At 45.2% G+C, this 16723-nt stretch overlaps 1 long non-coding RNA gene across 1 annotated transcript, besides 2 other annotated features; it reads left to right on the forward strand.

Annotated features, from left to right (window-relative positions):
* Nucleotides 4326-4375: an enhancer, noted in NCBI's record as "active region_5534". NCBI's record gives its function as "activates an Ori minimal core promoter by ATAC-STARR-seq in GM12878 lymphoblastoid cells {active_cell/tissue: GM12878}" and the evidence as "EXISTENCE:reporter gene assay evidence [ECO:0000049][PMID:35858748]".
* On the forward strand, nucleotides 4749-7812 carry LOC124902757 (uncharacterized). The gene is made up of 2 exons (XR_007062892.1): nucleotides 4749-5010; nucleotides 7059-7812. It is a non-coding gene; the product is annotated as an uncharacterized LOC124902757 (long non-coding RNA).
* Nucleotides 10945-11104: an enhancer, noted in NCBI's record as "active region_5535". NCBI's record gives its function as "activates an Ori minimal core promoter by ATAC-STARR-seq in GM12878 lymphoblastoid cells {active_cell/tissue: GM12878}" and the evidence as "EXISTENCE:reporter gene assay evidence [ECO:0000049][PMID:35858748]".

Genomic DNA, 16723 nt, shown 5'->3' on the forward strand with positions numbered 1-16723 from the left:
AACACCTTGGGGATTTCAAGGGTCTCACAGGAAGCTGTCATATCTCAACCTGAGGAATAGAAGCAGCATGGTCTCTCTCTCTTCACACACACACACACACACACAGACACTGGGCAGGTCACTATGGGGCATCTTTCGTATTATTAAGAGGGCAGCAATTTTGTGGTGAGCAGCCCAGGAAAACCAAACCAAAAGAGCAAAGATCAAAAGGGCTTAAGAAGGGCTTAAGTAATGGGAAATATGAATTCTACCTAGGACACAGAAAAAGGAGTGTACCTGAACAAGACCAGTACTGTTTATTGAGTCAAATGCTCTTTCCTGAGGCAAATGGGACACTTAGCTACCCTGTCAGAGGGAGGGTTGATGGGGCTGGGGGGCACCTACCTTCCCAAGCACAGTGGAGAGTTGCAGAGCAAAGGAAGGCACTTGACCCCTCCCCAGTGGAGGGAAAAAAAAGCCATGGAAGAGGCATGGTGAATTCCTAGATCATAGGCTTCCGACGACATCCAGTACTGTGCACAGTGACACTAAATCAATGTCACTGCTCTGAGAGATCCAAAGAAACAAAGCAAATACCACCTAATTCAACTCTGTATCATTCCTACCCAAGTGTCCATGTCCTTATGCCCATCTGGGAATTGTATCTCTAGCAGGCTCAGTTCAAGGGAGAAATACGAACAAACATATCTAGGCCTGGCTGACAGCTCTCTCCCTTTTCAGCAGTTTGCAGAATCCCAGGTCCTCAGACTCATGTGGTTGCTCAGAGCCACCCATGGCGACATCCTGCCCAGCTTGACCCTCTTCTCAGCCCATTCCCACAACCCCTGACCTCTCACCACATCAGAGTTTACCTTTTTTCCCCATAGGCATGGAGTAGGGGAATAAGAAAGAAGAAAGACAATGTTCTTAGAAAATTCTGGGTTTGAATTGCAGCCTCACCACTTTTCAGATCCATGACCTTAAAGGAATCTCTTACTTAAGTTTCTATTTCTACAACAAATTCATAAAATAATTTTAAGGATTAAATGAGATAATGAACATAAAAATGCACCACAAACTATGGATGCTATGCACTTATGAGGATTGACTATTAAACCTCTGGGGAGCACCTTTCCATTCTAATGGGGGGGTGTTAGACTACAGGAGTGATTCTGAGGGGGGCCAGTCCAGGTCTTGCTCAGAGCCAGGGATGTGGACATTTCCCGTGGTGAGCCGATGTGCACAGGGTCTGTATTCTGCCTCCCTGGATGCCCCTCAGAGCCAAGCACTGTGCTAGGTTCATAATAGGTTCCACAGTGGCTGCTGATGGACACAGGCATGGTGTTATTGATGAAGACTTTTGGTGCCCTTCACATTGCTCCACATAGGTGGGAGCCAGTGTGTCCACCATACCCATGGGGCAGGCAAGGCCTCTCCAGCAGTGAGAGCCAAACAGCCCAGGTGCAGACCCAGTGGAAGCAACCATGTGGGGCAGCCGCAGAGGCAGGGCAGGAAGGCTAGGCAGTGCGATTTTCCCCCAGGACTGCCATGATTCACAGTCTGGCTGCCCGGAGGGGACCTCTCTGCAGCTCTCGACTCCATTATCTTCAGCTCACTCCCCACCCCTGGCCACTGCCCCATTTTCTCCTCTTAACACTTGCAGGCCACCCTGGTAATAGCTCCAGGAAAGACAGATTATCAGTCCCTCTCCAGAAAGGACCAATTATTCATGGCCTCACCTAGAGTTTTATGGGAAAAAAAAAAAAAAAGGCAAGACGAGCACCATTTCCTGCTGCCCCTGGGAGGTGAAGCCTGAGAGCAGAACCTAGACCTGGGGTGGGCTAGACAAGAGCCAGGGAGGAGGTCGATGGAATGGCAATGAGGCGGAAAGCGGATGCAGAATACTGGCAACAGGATGCAGGGATGAGATCAGGAAAGAGCCCAGTGCCGGGCTCCCCCGAACCCGCCTGTGCGTACTGCCAGGGACTCGAGGCACTGTGCCTGGGGCAAGGCCACAAGGCATACATAAACTCTGCCCTCCAGTAGATACACCAAAGCATCATTTTTATAGAAAATGAAGGATATATTTTGATGCAAAGTGCAAATTTTCCATGAATTTTTAAGAAAAACATTGAGACTTTAGATGTTTTTCTTGGTACTTACCCCCAACCCCCAATCATGTCCTTAGAGCCCTGGGGGGCATTTGTTCTTTTCTGCTGTTGATGTGTTTCATTCACTCATCCATATGTCCATTTATTCATTCAACAAATAATATTAAGTGACAACTCTGTGCTAGGCACAAGAAATGAAGTAGGTAGCAAAATACACATGAATCTTGACTTTATGGTGCTTATACCATTGGGGAAAGCTTTGAAAGCCTAATGAGCCAAATTTCTCTTTTTTGTGTTTGAAGAAAGAATGAGCCTCCCATCACCAAAACTGCGCAGGCAGAGGTTAGATAAGCAACAGTTGCTTGTTGAATGAATGTGTGAATGACAAATGGTTTTCTGCCTCGGATGAGAAGGCAAACCGGCTGACTTCTCACATGCTTTCTAACCCATGACTCTGCCTTCTCTCCCCTGGAACGGTTTCTGAAGCTCCTTTCTACTTGTGTCTTTTAGAGTCTCATGCCTTGATCCCTCCCCAGTTAAACTCCGCTTCCTCCTGCAATCTGGGCAGCCCAGGGTCTTAGAGTCTTTCTATCATGTTTGTCTCCTTTGGCCAGTCAGGCAGTAGAATCTACATGAGCATAGCATTTAAGAAAAATAAAATCAATTGTCTATTGATAGGGGCTGGAGAAAAAACAGAGAAATGAAATATTTCTTTCCTCATCCTGTTTTGGCCACCAAATGGATTTGTTTCAAACATGGTAGGAGGCCCAGCAAAGGCAGGGTGGTTCCTATTCCAAGAGGTATAGAACCCTAGCTCAGAAATACAGCCACCAAAATGGCCCAGCTCAGAAATAAGAAGGAGAGGCATGTGTAGTCCTACACACTCTTCCCTCCAGCCACGATCACAGTTACCATCTCCATGGATGCAGGAGGGGACAAGAAGGAAGTCCCTGGGCATCTTAGAAATTGGGTTGAGCTTTGGGTGGAAGGTTCTGAATGGCCTAGGCTCCTATGGTATGACCATTCCCACTGACTCCCTTGGAGGTAGGGGTGTGTGTGTGTGTGTGTGTGTGTGTGTGTGTGTGTGTGTGTTGCATATGCCAGTGTGGTGTGTTGCTTTCAGAGCTCCTGTCAAATGCAATTTAGTCATGTTTTCATACATCCACATTTAACCCTTACAACAACTCATTCAGGGTAAGTGACGTCATTTGCATTTGAGAGGCATTGAAGCTGCATTTCGAGGCTGGGCGTGGTGGCTCATGCCTGTAATCCCAGCACTCTGGGAGGCTGAGGTGGGTGGATCACCTGAGGTCAGGAGTTCGAGACCAGCCTGGCCAACATGGTGAAACCCTGTCTTTACTAAAAATACAAAAATTAGCCAGGTGTGGTGGCATGTGCCTGTAATCCTAGCTACTCAGGAGGCTGAGGTAGGAGGATCCCTTGAATCCAGAAGATGGAGGTTGAAGTGAGCCGTGAGCCGAGATCAGGCCACTGCACTCCAGCCTGGGAGACAGAGCAAGACTCCATCTCAAAAAAAAAAAAAAAAAAAGCCCTATTTTGGAGGGTAAAGAAAGTCTCTGACTCTACGTCATCTTGGGCACTGTGATGCCTCTCCTTTTAGCTCTCACACAGTGTGGGCTTCAAAGACAACATTGCTTAAATGCCCAGCTCCCTCCAGGTGGGAGAAGTAACTTGCTCCAAAAAGAAGGCCCATTTGCCAGAGTGGCTCAGGATCAGACCCCACTGGGTGCAGCTGCAGGCCTTGAGTGCTCAAGAAACTGGTGCTTCTGGGAAAGGAGACCAAGCAGGTCCTATACTCCTAGAAGAGCTGCTGCACCTCAGGCAGTGTGCACCCACATTGCTGAGCTACTTCAGTGCTCACCTTGGGCTAGAACCAGTTTCCCAGGCTGCGATGTGGACATCTCTGAGACTCTAAGTGACTGGGAAACTGCAGAACTGGTTTCCAACCATGACTCAGCAGAGACACATCCTCTTCCCCACGGCCCAGCACCACTGGCATAGAAGCCCCGCTCAGCACCGGGGAGAGAGTATTCCACTTTCTTGTCTGTCTAGGTAATTTATCACCCAGAAACAGGGTTATAGAGAGATGTTTGACTCTGAAATGACTCTTGTGGGGAACAGGAAGAATAAACCTGTCCCTTAAGTGCCATGTCTCATTCTGGCTGCAGGGGAGGGACAGGAGGAGAGTAAGGTAGAAAAGAAGGTGGAGCAGGAAAGGCACGAAAGGGAAGCTGGGTGAATGTGAGAAGTTCTGTGGAGAAAATGGTGGTATGGGGTTACTAGATGAGGAGCTAGAGCCCTAGGCTGGGGTGTCAGGTTTCCCTCTGACCCGGAAGCAGAACAGTCCTTAGACATTCTTGGTAGAATCACTGCTGCTCAGTGATATGTGAGTTTCAGAAGCCCTGGCCCCACCCTGGGTGTATCAGCACCTCATAGTTAGGGAACAGAGACCTCACAACACCAGGAACCATGGTACCTCTGTGGCTCTCGGGAGCTGAGGCTGGGGCAGAAATGAAGTGATGTTTGTCCTGGGCCCTGGATTAGCTCTGAGGCCAGGGTTGGGAGAGGGGAAGTGCAGCTCTCAGAACAAAATCAAACCAAAGCTTGTTCCCATGAGGAACAGGAAATTTAAGGGAATGAAGTGCTGTACTTAGGTTTCCAAGACCCTATGCTTGCCTCAGTTTCCCTCAAGTCCATTTCCACCCAATTCCATTGAAGAGGATGCTCTGTCATTCTGCTGCCTTTCACAGTGAGGAGAATCACTCTGTTCCTACTGATTGAGTAACCTGCTTCCTTTCTTCTTCATTTCCAATGATACAGACAGGACCTGGACTAGCTTAGACGAATGAGGCACTTGCCTCTGGCACAAAAGGGGGCACCAAACACCTCGGTAATCAAGGTAAATGATATTTTAATACAACATTTAGAAAATAAAAAATCAATGCAAAAAATCCTTGATGCACAAAATATTCAAAATTTCAATCAAGACTGGATTGGTACTAATTTCTCCATTTGTCTCAGGCTCCAGTATGGCTGGGCACTGCACAGTGCTGGATACAGATATCACTCAATGTGCCTTCAGGGTGGGAAGGGAGTCCAGCAGAAACAAGACAAACAGGCCCCCTTTATGCGTTGGAAATTGAGCTTCCAGTCTAGTGGACAAGGGAAACAGTGGAACAAATGGGTCAACCATCAAAACTTGACAATTGTGATTGGCTTGACAAACAGGGTTTTGTGGTGGATGGTTTGGATAGGATAGTTAGAGGAGCTTACCTGGGAATGTGATGTTTCTGCTATAATTTGAGGGATAAAAAGGAGCCAGCAGTTATAGGTTGAATTATATTCACGCAAAATTCGTATCTTGAAGCCCTAACTTCCATGATCTCAGAGTGTGACCTTATTTGAAAATAGAGTCATTGCAGCTGTAATTAATTAAGATGGAGTCATACTGGAGTAGAGTGGGCCCCTAATTCAATATGATGGGTGTCTTTATAAAACAGGGAAATTTGGACACAGCCACCCATGTGCACACAGGGATAACACAGGCAAAGATGTCAAGATGAAGGCAAAGATTGGGGTGATGCTTCTATATGCCAAGGAACACCAAACATGGCCAGCAAACACCCAGCAGCTAGGGGAGAGGCCTGAAGCAGATTCTCCTTCAGCTCTCAGAAAGAACCAACCCTGCCAGCACCTTGATCTTGGACGTCCAGCCTCCCAAATTCAGACGATAAATTTCTTTTGTTTAAGCCCCCAGTTTGTGGTAATTCATTAAGGCAGCTCTAGCAAACTAATACACAGGCCATGCAAAGACAGACATCCACGGGACACGACCAGTAAGAAAAGTCCCTGAGGGGAGTAAGGGATCAGCCTGTTTGGGGAACTGGAAGACGGTAAATGTGTCCATATCACAAAGAGTGAGGTCATGAGGTGAGCAGGGGCTAGTTCATCTAGGAGGACACTCTGGAGTAATGGATTTTACTCCAAGTACAAGGGGACCTTGCTACTTTCCTATGACCCCTCGACTTCACAGCAATTTCACTGAACCCAAGATATTTCCAACCCCACTGAGCTAAAACTTGCTGTGTTTGTGAGTGAGCCTAGGGGTGGAGTGGGGCATTAAAAGCAGAAAAGATGTCAAGATTTAATGAACACCTCCTAACTCCCCAGTGGACAATTCTGGATGTCCTGGGTTTTTGTTTTGTAAGGCCAGCCTCTGCCAATTTACTAGCTTAATAACCACTATGAATGATCAGGACATTGAGCCACCAAAGTCGTCCAAGTGAAGATTTTAGATGAGGATGTGGAAGTGAGGGTGGGGAACCAGGAAGCAGAGAAGAAGACTGACATTTTGAACCCCTCCTATAGAAAGTGGATGTGAGGACAAAAGAAGTACTGAAACTCAGAGGGACTGGACCTCTTTCTCCTTGTAAGTCAAGCTGAACATGTAAAGAGGAGCTGACAGGAGAGTTTGTCCTGCTGGCATCAGCCTCCAGGGAAGTCCCCCAGCTTCCTGGATGTCTCTACTCTTGCTGTTGTCTGCTTGGACCCCATCTTCAACAGCAGCTCCTAGGGCTTGTCTGGAGGCCCTAGATCAAAGGTGCTTCCCAGCCTGAGCACCTGTAGAGGTAGCAGCTGTATTCTTTAGGTACAAGAACAGCATAGTTTTCCAGCGTGTGTATAAAGGTGTCTTCTTCCTCTGGGCAAATCACTCCCAGGGGCAAGAGCCACCAGTATCAACTTAGCAATCTTTGTCAGTGGCAAGGAGGTGACACTAATCTAAACCACAATTTTCATAGCCAACTTAAGCTTATTTTCTTACCTTGTCTTTTCTTAGAACTGTATCACTTCTTACACAGGTTCTTTTTCATCATTTATAAAACCATGGAGGCCTGGAAATGAACCGAGAGTGACTATTCATGCCTGAGCTAATGTCTCTTCCCCCAGGGATACTGCTGGAAGATGGACAGTGAATTGTCAGAATTCAGAAGTTCCAGGTCAGAGGTTGACTCAGCCACCCCTGGGCTGATGGAACCATCAGAAGGATCCTCTGATTCAGTCCCCAAACTGGGCCCTGTGGAGCAGCATCCCAGACAGCAGGAATCGGACCTGCAATTACTCCTTGGGACTCAGGGAGGAGTTTTAACAAGAAAACTGCACATCTTCAGAGCAGGTGGTCTTTTCTGTCTCTATAATCAAACAAAAATTTTTTTCGACTGTTCTATAACAGACTGCTGCCTGGGATCCTAGAACTGTTGCGTTTTTGATCTTCCTCTTCGCAGCATGGACAGTGGATCCCCTTGATCTGCAAGCCCTGCCCTGCCTCTCTCTGCACGCTGGGGGTTCAGGGAGGCTACACCCTTGGGGGGCACTGGGAGCTGCTGGAGATGTGCACAGCGAGCAGTGGAGAGCAGTCGTCTCTTCTGATCTACATGCAGGGGAACTGGTGAGAGTTGCCGTAGGACCTCTGGTGAAATTACCTTGGCTACTGACTAGTAAAGAGATGAGAAAGGAGAGGTACTATAGATTTTCTTTAAGAAATAAATATTGTCTCCTCTTTCTCTCTTTTCTCTGGTAAACAGTGCCCAAATTTGGAAATATCACGTGTAATTTATTGTCCCACTTTAAATGTTTCTTGTAACCATGAATTACTATTCTTGGATCAGATTCCATTATAATAAACTCCCACTTGGACTCCAAATTCTTTTACAACAGTGGAATTTTGCTTGAACTAACGCATTGTTATAAATCACATTTTCTGACCCCAGCCTGGAGTTCACACTTGGTTTTCAACTCCACAACTGACCAAAAATGGGATCTTAAGCAAGTCATCTCAACTCTTTAGCCCGCAGTTTCGTTTACCATAAATTAGGAACATTAGATATAGCTGACCTAATTCCTCATAGGTTTGTTGGGAACTAATAAGATTATTTTGTAAAAGTGTACTGGAAATCATAAAACTCCATCAAAATGTTAGCTTCTTGTTTGTTGACAGAACATCAATCACATTTGAGGAAGGCATTTTGAGCTCCTTCCTTATGTGGTGGTGATTTGAAATCCCATCTGCTTTGAATATTTCATATTCCTCTTTGCTTTCCAGCATTGGATATGCCTGAAACACTCCTGTAACCTTGCATTTCCTTACCTGTACAACAGGGAAACTAGTACTGGCCTGCCTGCCTTCGACTTTTGGATCATTTTACTTTTAGTTTACCTCAGGACATGTAGGACTTTGATAATGTTGGTGGACATCTGATTTATTGATGCTGGGCAAAGAGGGGCACTCAAGCAATACATGCAGTGCCAAGTGAGATGTTGAGGGAAGCTCAGCTTTCTTAGAAAGCTTCCCCGTGCACAGCTGTGATCCAGGTGCATCAGAAGATGCTGAGAGCTCACAAGAAGGGAAGATGAGACTGCTAAGGCTGAACTAGAGGCAAGGATTGTATCAGTAGACTCCTTCCTCTTCCTTTCATGATAGGATCCTGCTGTGGTTGAATGTATGTGTCCTTCCAAAATTTATAGACTATAAATTTATTGAAACCTAATCATCAAGGTGATGGTATTAGGAGGTGGTTAAAACCTAATCAACAAGGCGATGGTGCTAGGAGGCAGGGCCTCTTGGAGGTGGTTCAGTCATTAGGGCTCTACCCTTGTGAGTGGAATTCGTGCCCTTATAAAAGGGCAGTAGGAAACAGGTCTTTTTTTCCTTCCAGCTTCCACTATCTTGGAAGCAGAAGGCAGCCCTCACCAGACATCGAATCTTGTAGCACCTTTATCTTGGACTTCCTAGCCTCCAAAACTATAAGGAAATATCAGGTCTCAGATGTTTTGTTATAAAAGCAGAAATGGACTGAGACATAGCTCAACACTTATCATGGAATGTGTTGTTTAGTGATGATAAGGCTGAGAGAAGCCTTAGAAATGAAATGGAAGAGAAAATGTAACATATATCTCTAGGTAAAATATACTTTTGACATAGGTTGGAGACACCAGAACCTACTCCTACAATACCAGTGCATTGGTCAGTGCCATGAATCTTGAAGTTAAATGTTTCACCCTAATGCACTGCTAGTGGGCGTGCACACTTGTGGAGCCACTCTGGAGAGTACGCATGCATGACTTCATTGAATTAAGTCTGTGTATATCCTCTGACCCAGTCATTCCAGTGCTGGGGAGACAATGGACAGGGGGCATGTAAAAACATGCTCACAATAGAGCTATTTGTTAGTCAAGGAGGAGTTAACTGCAATTTGGGCATCTATTCCTGCGAGAAGACAAAAGTAAAATGTGCTGGATATATATCATAGAAGCTCCTGTAGCAGTTAGCAGCTATTGATTGGATGTAAACATAACCACACAGATGAACCTTAAAAACATAGCTAGTGGGAAAAAAGTAAGAAACAGAGTGAGATATGTAACACAACATTTACACTAATTAAAAATGCGTGCATACAAAACAATATTTGTTTACATCAATACATATAAATAAGCATATGCATATTGAACAATTGGAATGATAGACTGTGGTTGGTGGGGAGGTGGGGAGAGATATATGAATAAAAAAGAATGAATAAATACATAAAACAAGAGAGAGGCCTTACATGGAAAAATGCAAGAAGTACAATTTACTCAATCCCTTACATCTGAAGTTGAAAATAAATTAATTAAAAATATGAACTCTTGGCCAGGGCATGGTGGCTCACACCTGTAATTCTCTGAGTTAGTCTAATACCATCGCCTTGGTGATTAGGTTTCAACCACCTCCTAATACCATCACCTTGGTGATTAGGTTTCAACATATGAATTTTGGAAAGACACATACATTCAACCACAGCAGGATCCTATCATGAAAGGAAGAGGAAGGAGTCTATTGATACAATCCTTGCCTCTAGTTCAGCCTTAGCAGTCTCATCTTCCCTTCTTGTGAGCTCTCAGCATCTTCTGATGCAACTGGATCACAGCTGTGCATGGGGAAGCTTTCTAAAAAAGCTGAGCTTCCCTCAACATCTCAGTTGGCACTGCATGTATTGCTTGAGTGCCCCTCTTTGCCCAGCATCAATAAATCAGATGTCCACCCACTAATTATCTAAGTCCTACATATCCTGAGGCAAAGTAAAAGCAAAATGATCCAAGAGTCGGAGGCAGACAGGCCAGTACTAGTTTCTCTGTTGGTCAGGTAAGGAAATGCAAGGTTACAGGAGTGTTGCAGGCATATCTGATGCTGGAATATAGCTCTATAGTATGAATATATTTCAATGACCCTGTGAGTTCTATACTAAAAGAAGGGAATGTTTGGTTACATTAAGTTTTAAAAAAAGAAAAGAACAACCTGTTCTGCACTGATCCCTCAACTGGGTCTTACATAAATCTCTTAGTTCTCAAAGCTGCTCAGCAATTCCTGTAGTTTTCTCTTGGATGCTCCAGCTCATGTCCCTCATGGCATCCTTTCTTGAACTTCACTCTCTTTGATTCTCTGACCTCAGTTCGTCTTCTCCCTTACTCTTATCACGTGAGCTCACCAACAACTTCCTGGAGATCAACATCATCTGTCCCAGTCAGGATTATCGATTGCAAACAACAGAAAGTAGTCCTGTTGCCTTTAGGAAAATAAGGACTTACAGATGTGGAAGCCAATAGAATCCACAAGAGATGGAAGGAGCAAGCTTGGGAAATAAGCAGAATCCAAAGGGGGTCTGGAGGCTGGGCAGCAGGAGGAATCTGGCCAGATGCTCTCATAGCTGCTGCCTCTGACTCTACAGCAGGACACTAGTGCTGGACAGCCGACTGGCAATGAGTGAATGTGGCCTCCAAAGTGGCCTCTGAGTGTCTTCATCTTCCTGTTCTCATATCCTCAGTACTCTCTGTCTGCATTAGATGGGGCTTTCCTGTGTATCTAGTGGGATATTGTGTGAGTCAAGGGTAGGTTATAAAAGACATTGTGGTTTCTGCCTTTCACTTTTTCAGATCATTTGATCTGGGGAAAACCAGGCACTATGTCATAAGGTCACTCAAGAAACCTTGCAGAGAGGTATTTCTGGAGAGTAAGTGAGGCTTTCTCCAATAGCCAGTGACCAGCTGTGGCCACCTGCTCACGGACATGAGAGTGAACCAGCTTGGAGGTGACTCTCAGCCCCAGTCAAGACTTCAGATGACTGCAGGCCCAGCTGACATCTTGACTGCCACCCATGAGAGGCCTCAAGTAAGCACCACCCTGCTAAGCTGCCCACAAATTCCCAACCCAAAGAAACAGAAAATAAATATTTGTTGTTTAAAGTGACTAAATTTTGGGGTATTTGTTATGCAGCCTAAGTAAAGAACACATGCCCCCCTTACTTTTGGATTATATTCACCATGTTGAAATACCCGAGGGGAGCTACTGATTGACTGAATGTAAGTCATGGGCCATGCCCTGCTTCCTAGGGGCTAGTGGAATGGAGTGAGATGGAGTGAGGACCCCTTTGCCTCTTTAGGAGAGGTGGACACTGCATCACACTAACACTATGCACACAGGGAACTTTCCCAACTAGAAAGATAGAGTTTAGAGAGCCAAAATATAGAAGTATCTACTATCCCTTTGTATCTGAATTGTTGCAGTGTCTCTATTCTTCTAATCAGAATGTGTCAGGACATCCTTCTTCCTCTTCCCTTCTTTCTTGTCCCCAGCAGAGATGCATCCTTCCTTTCCCCAAAGCTAAACTTGAGTTCTACTTGGCCTGTTGATCTCATTCCCTTCATTGGTCTCATCTTCCACTCAGTAGTTACCTCCATTCCAGCTCACATCTTTTAATGTTTTCTGTGTGTCAAACATGTCAGTTCTCTGGTTCTGGATTATCTCCTCTCATTTTTCTTCCCCCTGTAGGAATAGTCTCTTGCTCAGGGACTTTTTAAACATCCTTCCCTAGTGAACCACGGTAAGTACAGCCTACTTTGATAAGGAAAGTATGGAGTGGGGAATGGAGCATGCCCCAGTGACCACAAAGCCAATGTTCATATGCTCTAGGGGGATGGAAACCATGTTCGTGGTCAGACTGACGGCATATCTCTTGCAGGTGCCTGCCCATTCCCATCATTCCAACTTTGAATGGTCAACTTTGTGAAGAAAGGTTTTGGAAGCACAGATGGGGTTACTATAGTCCTCCTATTCTCACAGACTAGAAAATCACTACATTGCAAACTTATTGAGAGGAAGAACAGTGATTTGTTGTCATTATGTCACAAAGCCTAGCACAATGCCTCAAACATAGACCATGGTCAAAAATATGTATGTTGAACGAATAATTGAGTGAAATGGGAAATGGATAGAAGGTGGAGTTTCTCTGTCACCCATGCATGCTTGATGGAGATTTTTTTTTCCCCCAAACAGCCCCTTGAGAAGGGTGAGAATAAAGGGAAATGTTGTGATCATCAGAAGCTGCCTTGACTGAGATCTGAGTAGGGAGTAGTCCCAGAATCAGAGACCCACTGAGATCAAGGTTTTCTGATCTGGCCTCTGGGAGGATTTATAACCTTTTCACAGTGGCCGAAGAATTGACACAGAGCCCTTCGCTAGAGCCTCCCTGCATGACTGAAACAAGGTTGGGGCAACAGAGGAGAAACTGACAGTAAAGGCTATATGCACCCCCCTACCCCAGCTTGTAGTTCACTACAGGATATCTTTCTGCCTCCATGCAGCAGAGACCATCTCCAACCTGTGCTCATACCAGGAACACAGGTTTGGGGCCCTGACTCTGAAGACTGAAGGTTGGGTATGAGATTGAGACAGAGACTGAGGTTTCTGAGCCCCATCCCCTGAGTGCTGGTTCCTGTCTAGCCTGTCTCTTCTCTGTGATTGACTCCAGGGTCATCTTGTTCAGGGGAAATCATTTCATCCACAACGGAGTGGTCTTTCATTCAGGCACCAACACATAAGAGTTAACACAGCAACTGTGGCATTCCTAGGAGTGAGCAACATTTTGGTGCTGGGAGTCCTTCTGTGATGAGGAAAGGGAGCAGGGCCAGAAAGGACTTGAGCCTAGAAGTAGGGGGTAGAACTGGGCATCATCTGACCTTCCTTCCCTCCTTCTCTTTATTTACTTGCCTTTTTCTATTCTATGTCTATTTTCTCTTGCACATCTCATATGTACTAAAATTGTTATCATAGGAACTCCATCTACAGAGGTAGGAATGCTGGCAGGGGGTATTTGTGGAGGGCATCTATTCGTAATTAACTATGTGGCAACACTGTTAGTCTTTCTCCCTTAACTTCATTATTTACCCCTACTTCCTCTTTATCCATTTCTCTCTTTTTTTCTTTTTTTTTGTTTTTTTGAGACAGAGTCTCGCTCTGTCGCCCAGGCTGGAGTACAGTGGTGCGATCTCGGCTCACTGCAAGCTCTGCCTCCCAGGTTCACGCCATTCTCCTGCCTCAGCCTCCTGAGCAGCTGGCACTACAGGCACCCACCACCATGTCCGGCTAGGTTTTTGTATTTTTTTTTAGTAGAGGGGTTTCACCATGTTAGCCAGGATGGTCTCGATCTCCTGACCTCATGATCCGCCCGCCTTGGCCTCCCAAAGTGCTGGGATTACAGGTATCCATTTCTTAATGCCTTATGTTTGGGCTTCCATCTCTCCCACTCTATCAGGAATGTCATTAGAAATCTACCTGACATGCAGGATGCCCTCTCTAGTTCTCTGCTCCCTTTCTGTCTTTGCAACATTAATATGAATCCTTCTCTCCCCTGGCTCCTGTGACAACAGCCTCTCCAGGATTTCTGATCATTGCTTTGGGGGGTTTTCACCTGCTCCTTCTGTGTTTCTATGCCTTAAATGCAGGCATTCTCTGAAGTTCAGTTTTGAGTGATCTCATCCTTTCTTACTTCCCCTTTCCAAAGTCCATCCACACCAACTGTTTTATCACTCTATATAGCTGATTCCTAAATCGCTGTAGCCTAGATTCTCTCCCAAATGTTAGACCCACATTTCTGCAATCCAATGGACATCGCTACATGGATCAGTTTGCAAAACACCAAGTCATTCAGTGAACATGGTGGGGGAGAAGGAGATAGGGCAAGAGAATAAGCAGTAGACAGCAAGAGGTTATGAAGGACCATGCGTGCCTCCATCAGAGCTCAGTTACGGATCACAGAATTCACTCTGCAACAGGAAAGGTTTTAATACAGGGAGTTGCGTACTGCAAAATTATCAGAAGGAATAACTGTCAACTCTCAGAAGCACTCAGCTACTGGCATGATCAGGAAAGCTGCCTCCCAATGCAGAAAGCTGTCAAATCAGGAAATATCTCCTCAATTAGGAAGCCGCTGACTCCAGAAAACTCCACCTCTACCTAATCAGCACCCAAAACAGAATGCTTTGTACCCTGCCTTGCTTCCTGTTGGACTCAGTTCTGAAACAGAGGCTCACATGAGCTTATATGATTTACAGAATCTAAGACATATTCAGAGCTCCACCTGCAAGAGATCCTGAGAAATGTATTATTTGATTTCCAACCTCTGCCTTCTAAAACATGTTGGGATAAATGCTGAGCAAGCCAGTCTGTGGTCTCTGCCATGTTGTGTGCACCAGGCAGGGCTCTTTCTATTGCAAGTGGCAGGAATCCAACTTTATCTCACTTGCATTCAAAAAGAAACATCATTGGCTTGTAATGAATGTGAAGGAAGGGCAAGGGCCAGTCTGGCTCCAGGGACAAGTGACACTGAGAATCTCTCTTCTCTCTCTCCACCTGCTACTTCTGCTTTTCTTTCTGTGTTAGTTCCATTCTCCCCAGTGAAGAACTTTCTCTATGAGCCTGGAGATGTGGCCACAGGGCTCCTAGGCACCCTTCTTTTACCACTTCATGATTATAGAGGAAGAGGCTTGCTTTTCTTGGTTCTCATTGTAAAAGTGTCCAGAGAGACCCTCATTTGTGCAGCTTAAGTTTAAAAGGCAGTTCCTTTTAAAACCTCATTTTAGAGATAGATGAAAATCAGGTTCCAAAAAGGAGGGACTGACAGCTTGGTAATAGCCACTAGAGAAAGAATATGGGGTCAGAAGAATGTCCTAATTTGTGTGTCCTACACTCTGACACGGCTTTTCCTCCCCCAGATCTGAACATGATAGAGAACTAATGCAGAACCTTAAGCCGTAAAGTGGCACAATGGAATAATAATATTTTGGTCCAATTGCTAACGGGACTGAATGAGATAATGAATGTATATGATAGCATGGTACACAGCACACAGTAGGTACTTGCCTTGATTTAGATTCCCCCAGAAGCTTCTTCTTCTTCTTTTTTTTTTTTTTTTGAAATAATGATTCAAGTGCAAGTTATTTACTTGGGAAGTGCAGGGAATACCAGTAGTAGAGTGGAGAAAGGGGAGCAGACAGTGAAGGCTGAGTTATTAAGCTACTAATGCAGTAGTTGACCAAAGCTTAACCCCCACAGGGAAACTCTTGGAAGTGACACAAAACGGATGCCTCAGAATTATCCCACCTGAGGGGCAAGGGAACTAGGATACGTAGATACCACTTCTGGGAGTCGTTGGCTGAGGGCTGCTTCCGTGGGGTTATTCCTCTGCACTGCTCTCCTGCTACACATATGGGCAGAGTGGTATTCTGTGGTTCTAGCCTGAGCATAAAAGTTCCAAGGGGCACAGGAGAGTCTGCAGTGCTTAATATGTGTGAGCTCCTCCCCAGGCTCCTCTCCCCTGGCCATCGGTTTAAAAGTCTCTTGAGTGTAGGAACCCCATCTTATTTATTCTCAAATCTCCCACAGAAGCTGGCACAATCTCTTACACATGGTAATGGTCAATATATATGTATTCTTGGCTTAATTAATGACATTGCAGGACAGCTTTATCCTGGTGATCTTTTGGTATTGCTTCCATATATCTTGGATTTCTGGGACAGAAAAAATTTTGTGTCATTATATTCTATCCTGAAGTATATCATAGAACATGATCTGATTTTTATACTTTTGTAATACTTCTCATGTAATTGTATTCATAAATACATTTTAAAAGCCTGCCAAGTTTATGCTACAGGTCCTGTATGGTGTGTGTGTATTTTATTTTTTATCTCTATAAGAAGTAAATTAGAGGAATTTGGAGACTCCTGGCATGTAGATTCTTATGCACTTCCTTCTCTGACTCAGCATAGTCATCGGCCAGCAATAATAACCTGCTCCCTGTGCAGTCAGCTTGTCCAGTTCTTGAGCCAATGAGAACCAAGATTTATGTTGTATTGAGAGCTCCCTTCATCCAGGGGTGAAGAGAGGCAGGAGAGGTCTGATGTAAATCTGCTGCCTTCTGTTTTTCAGGTCAGAACACCTGGGTTCAGCGAGGAGTGTTCAGAGCCCCAGGTGCTAGATAAGCAACCAGCTCTAGATTCTTCTTTCATATCATCATGCACAGGCACAGTCTCCTCCCAGGTGCCTTGTCTTGGACCGCAGCTCTGATCCCAGCTTAGTAATCTTGAACCCGAATCCTAGTCACCTAGTTTTCGCCCAATATCTACCCTAACTCAGACAGAATCCATGTCACTATTAATTGCCTCCCCCAGAATTGTCCCTGCCTAGAAGCCACTGGCACTGTGTTTACCTGTTCCTTCAAATTGGCCAAATTTCTCAAATATTGATG

This window comes from Homo sapiens, chromosome 11 (genome assembly GCF_000001405.40).
Source record: "Homo sapiens chromosome 11, GRCh38.p14 Primary Assembly".
Classification (NCBI taxonomy): domain Eukaryota; kingdom Metazoa; phylum Chordata; class Mammalia; order Primates; family Hominidae; genus Homo; species Homo sapiens.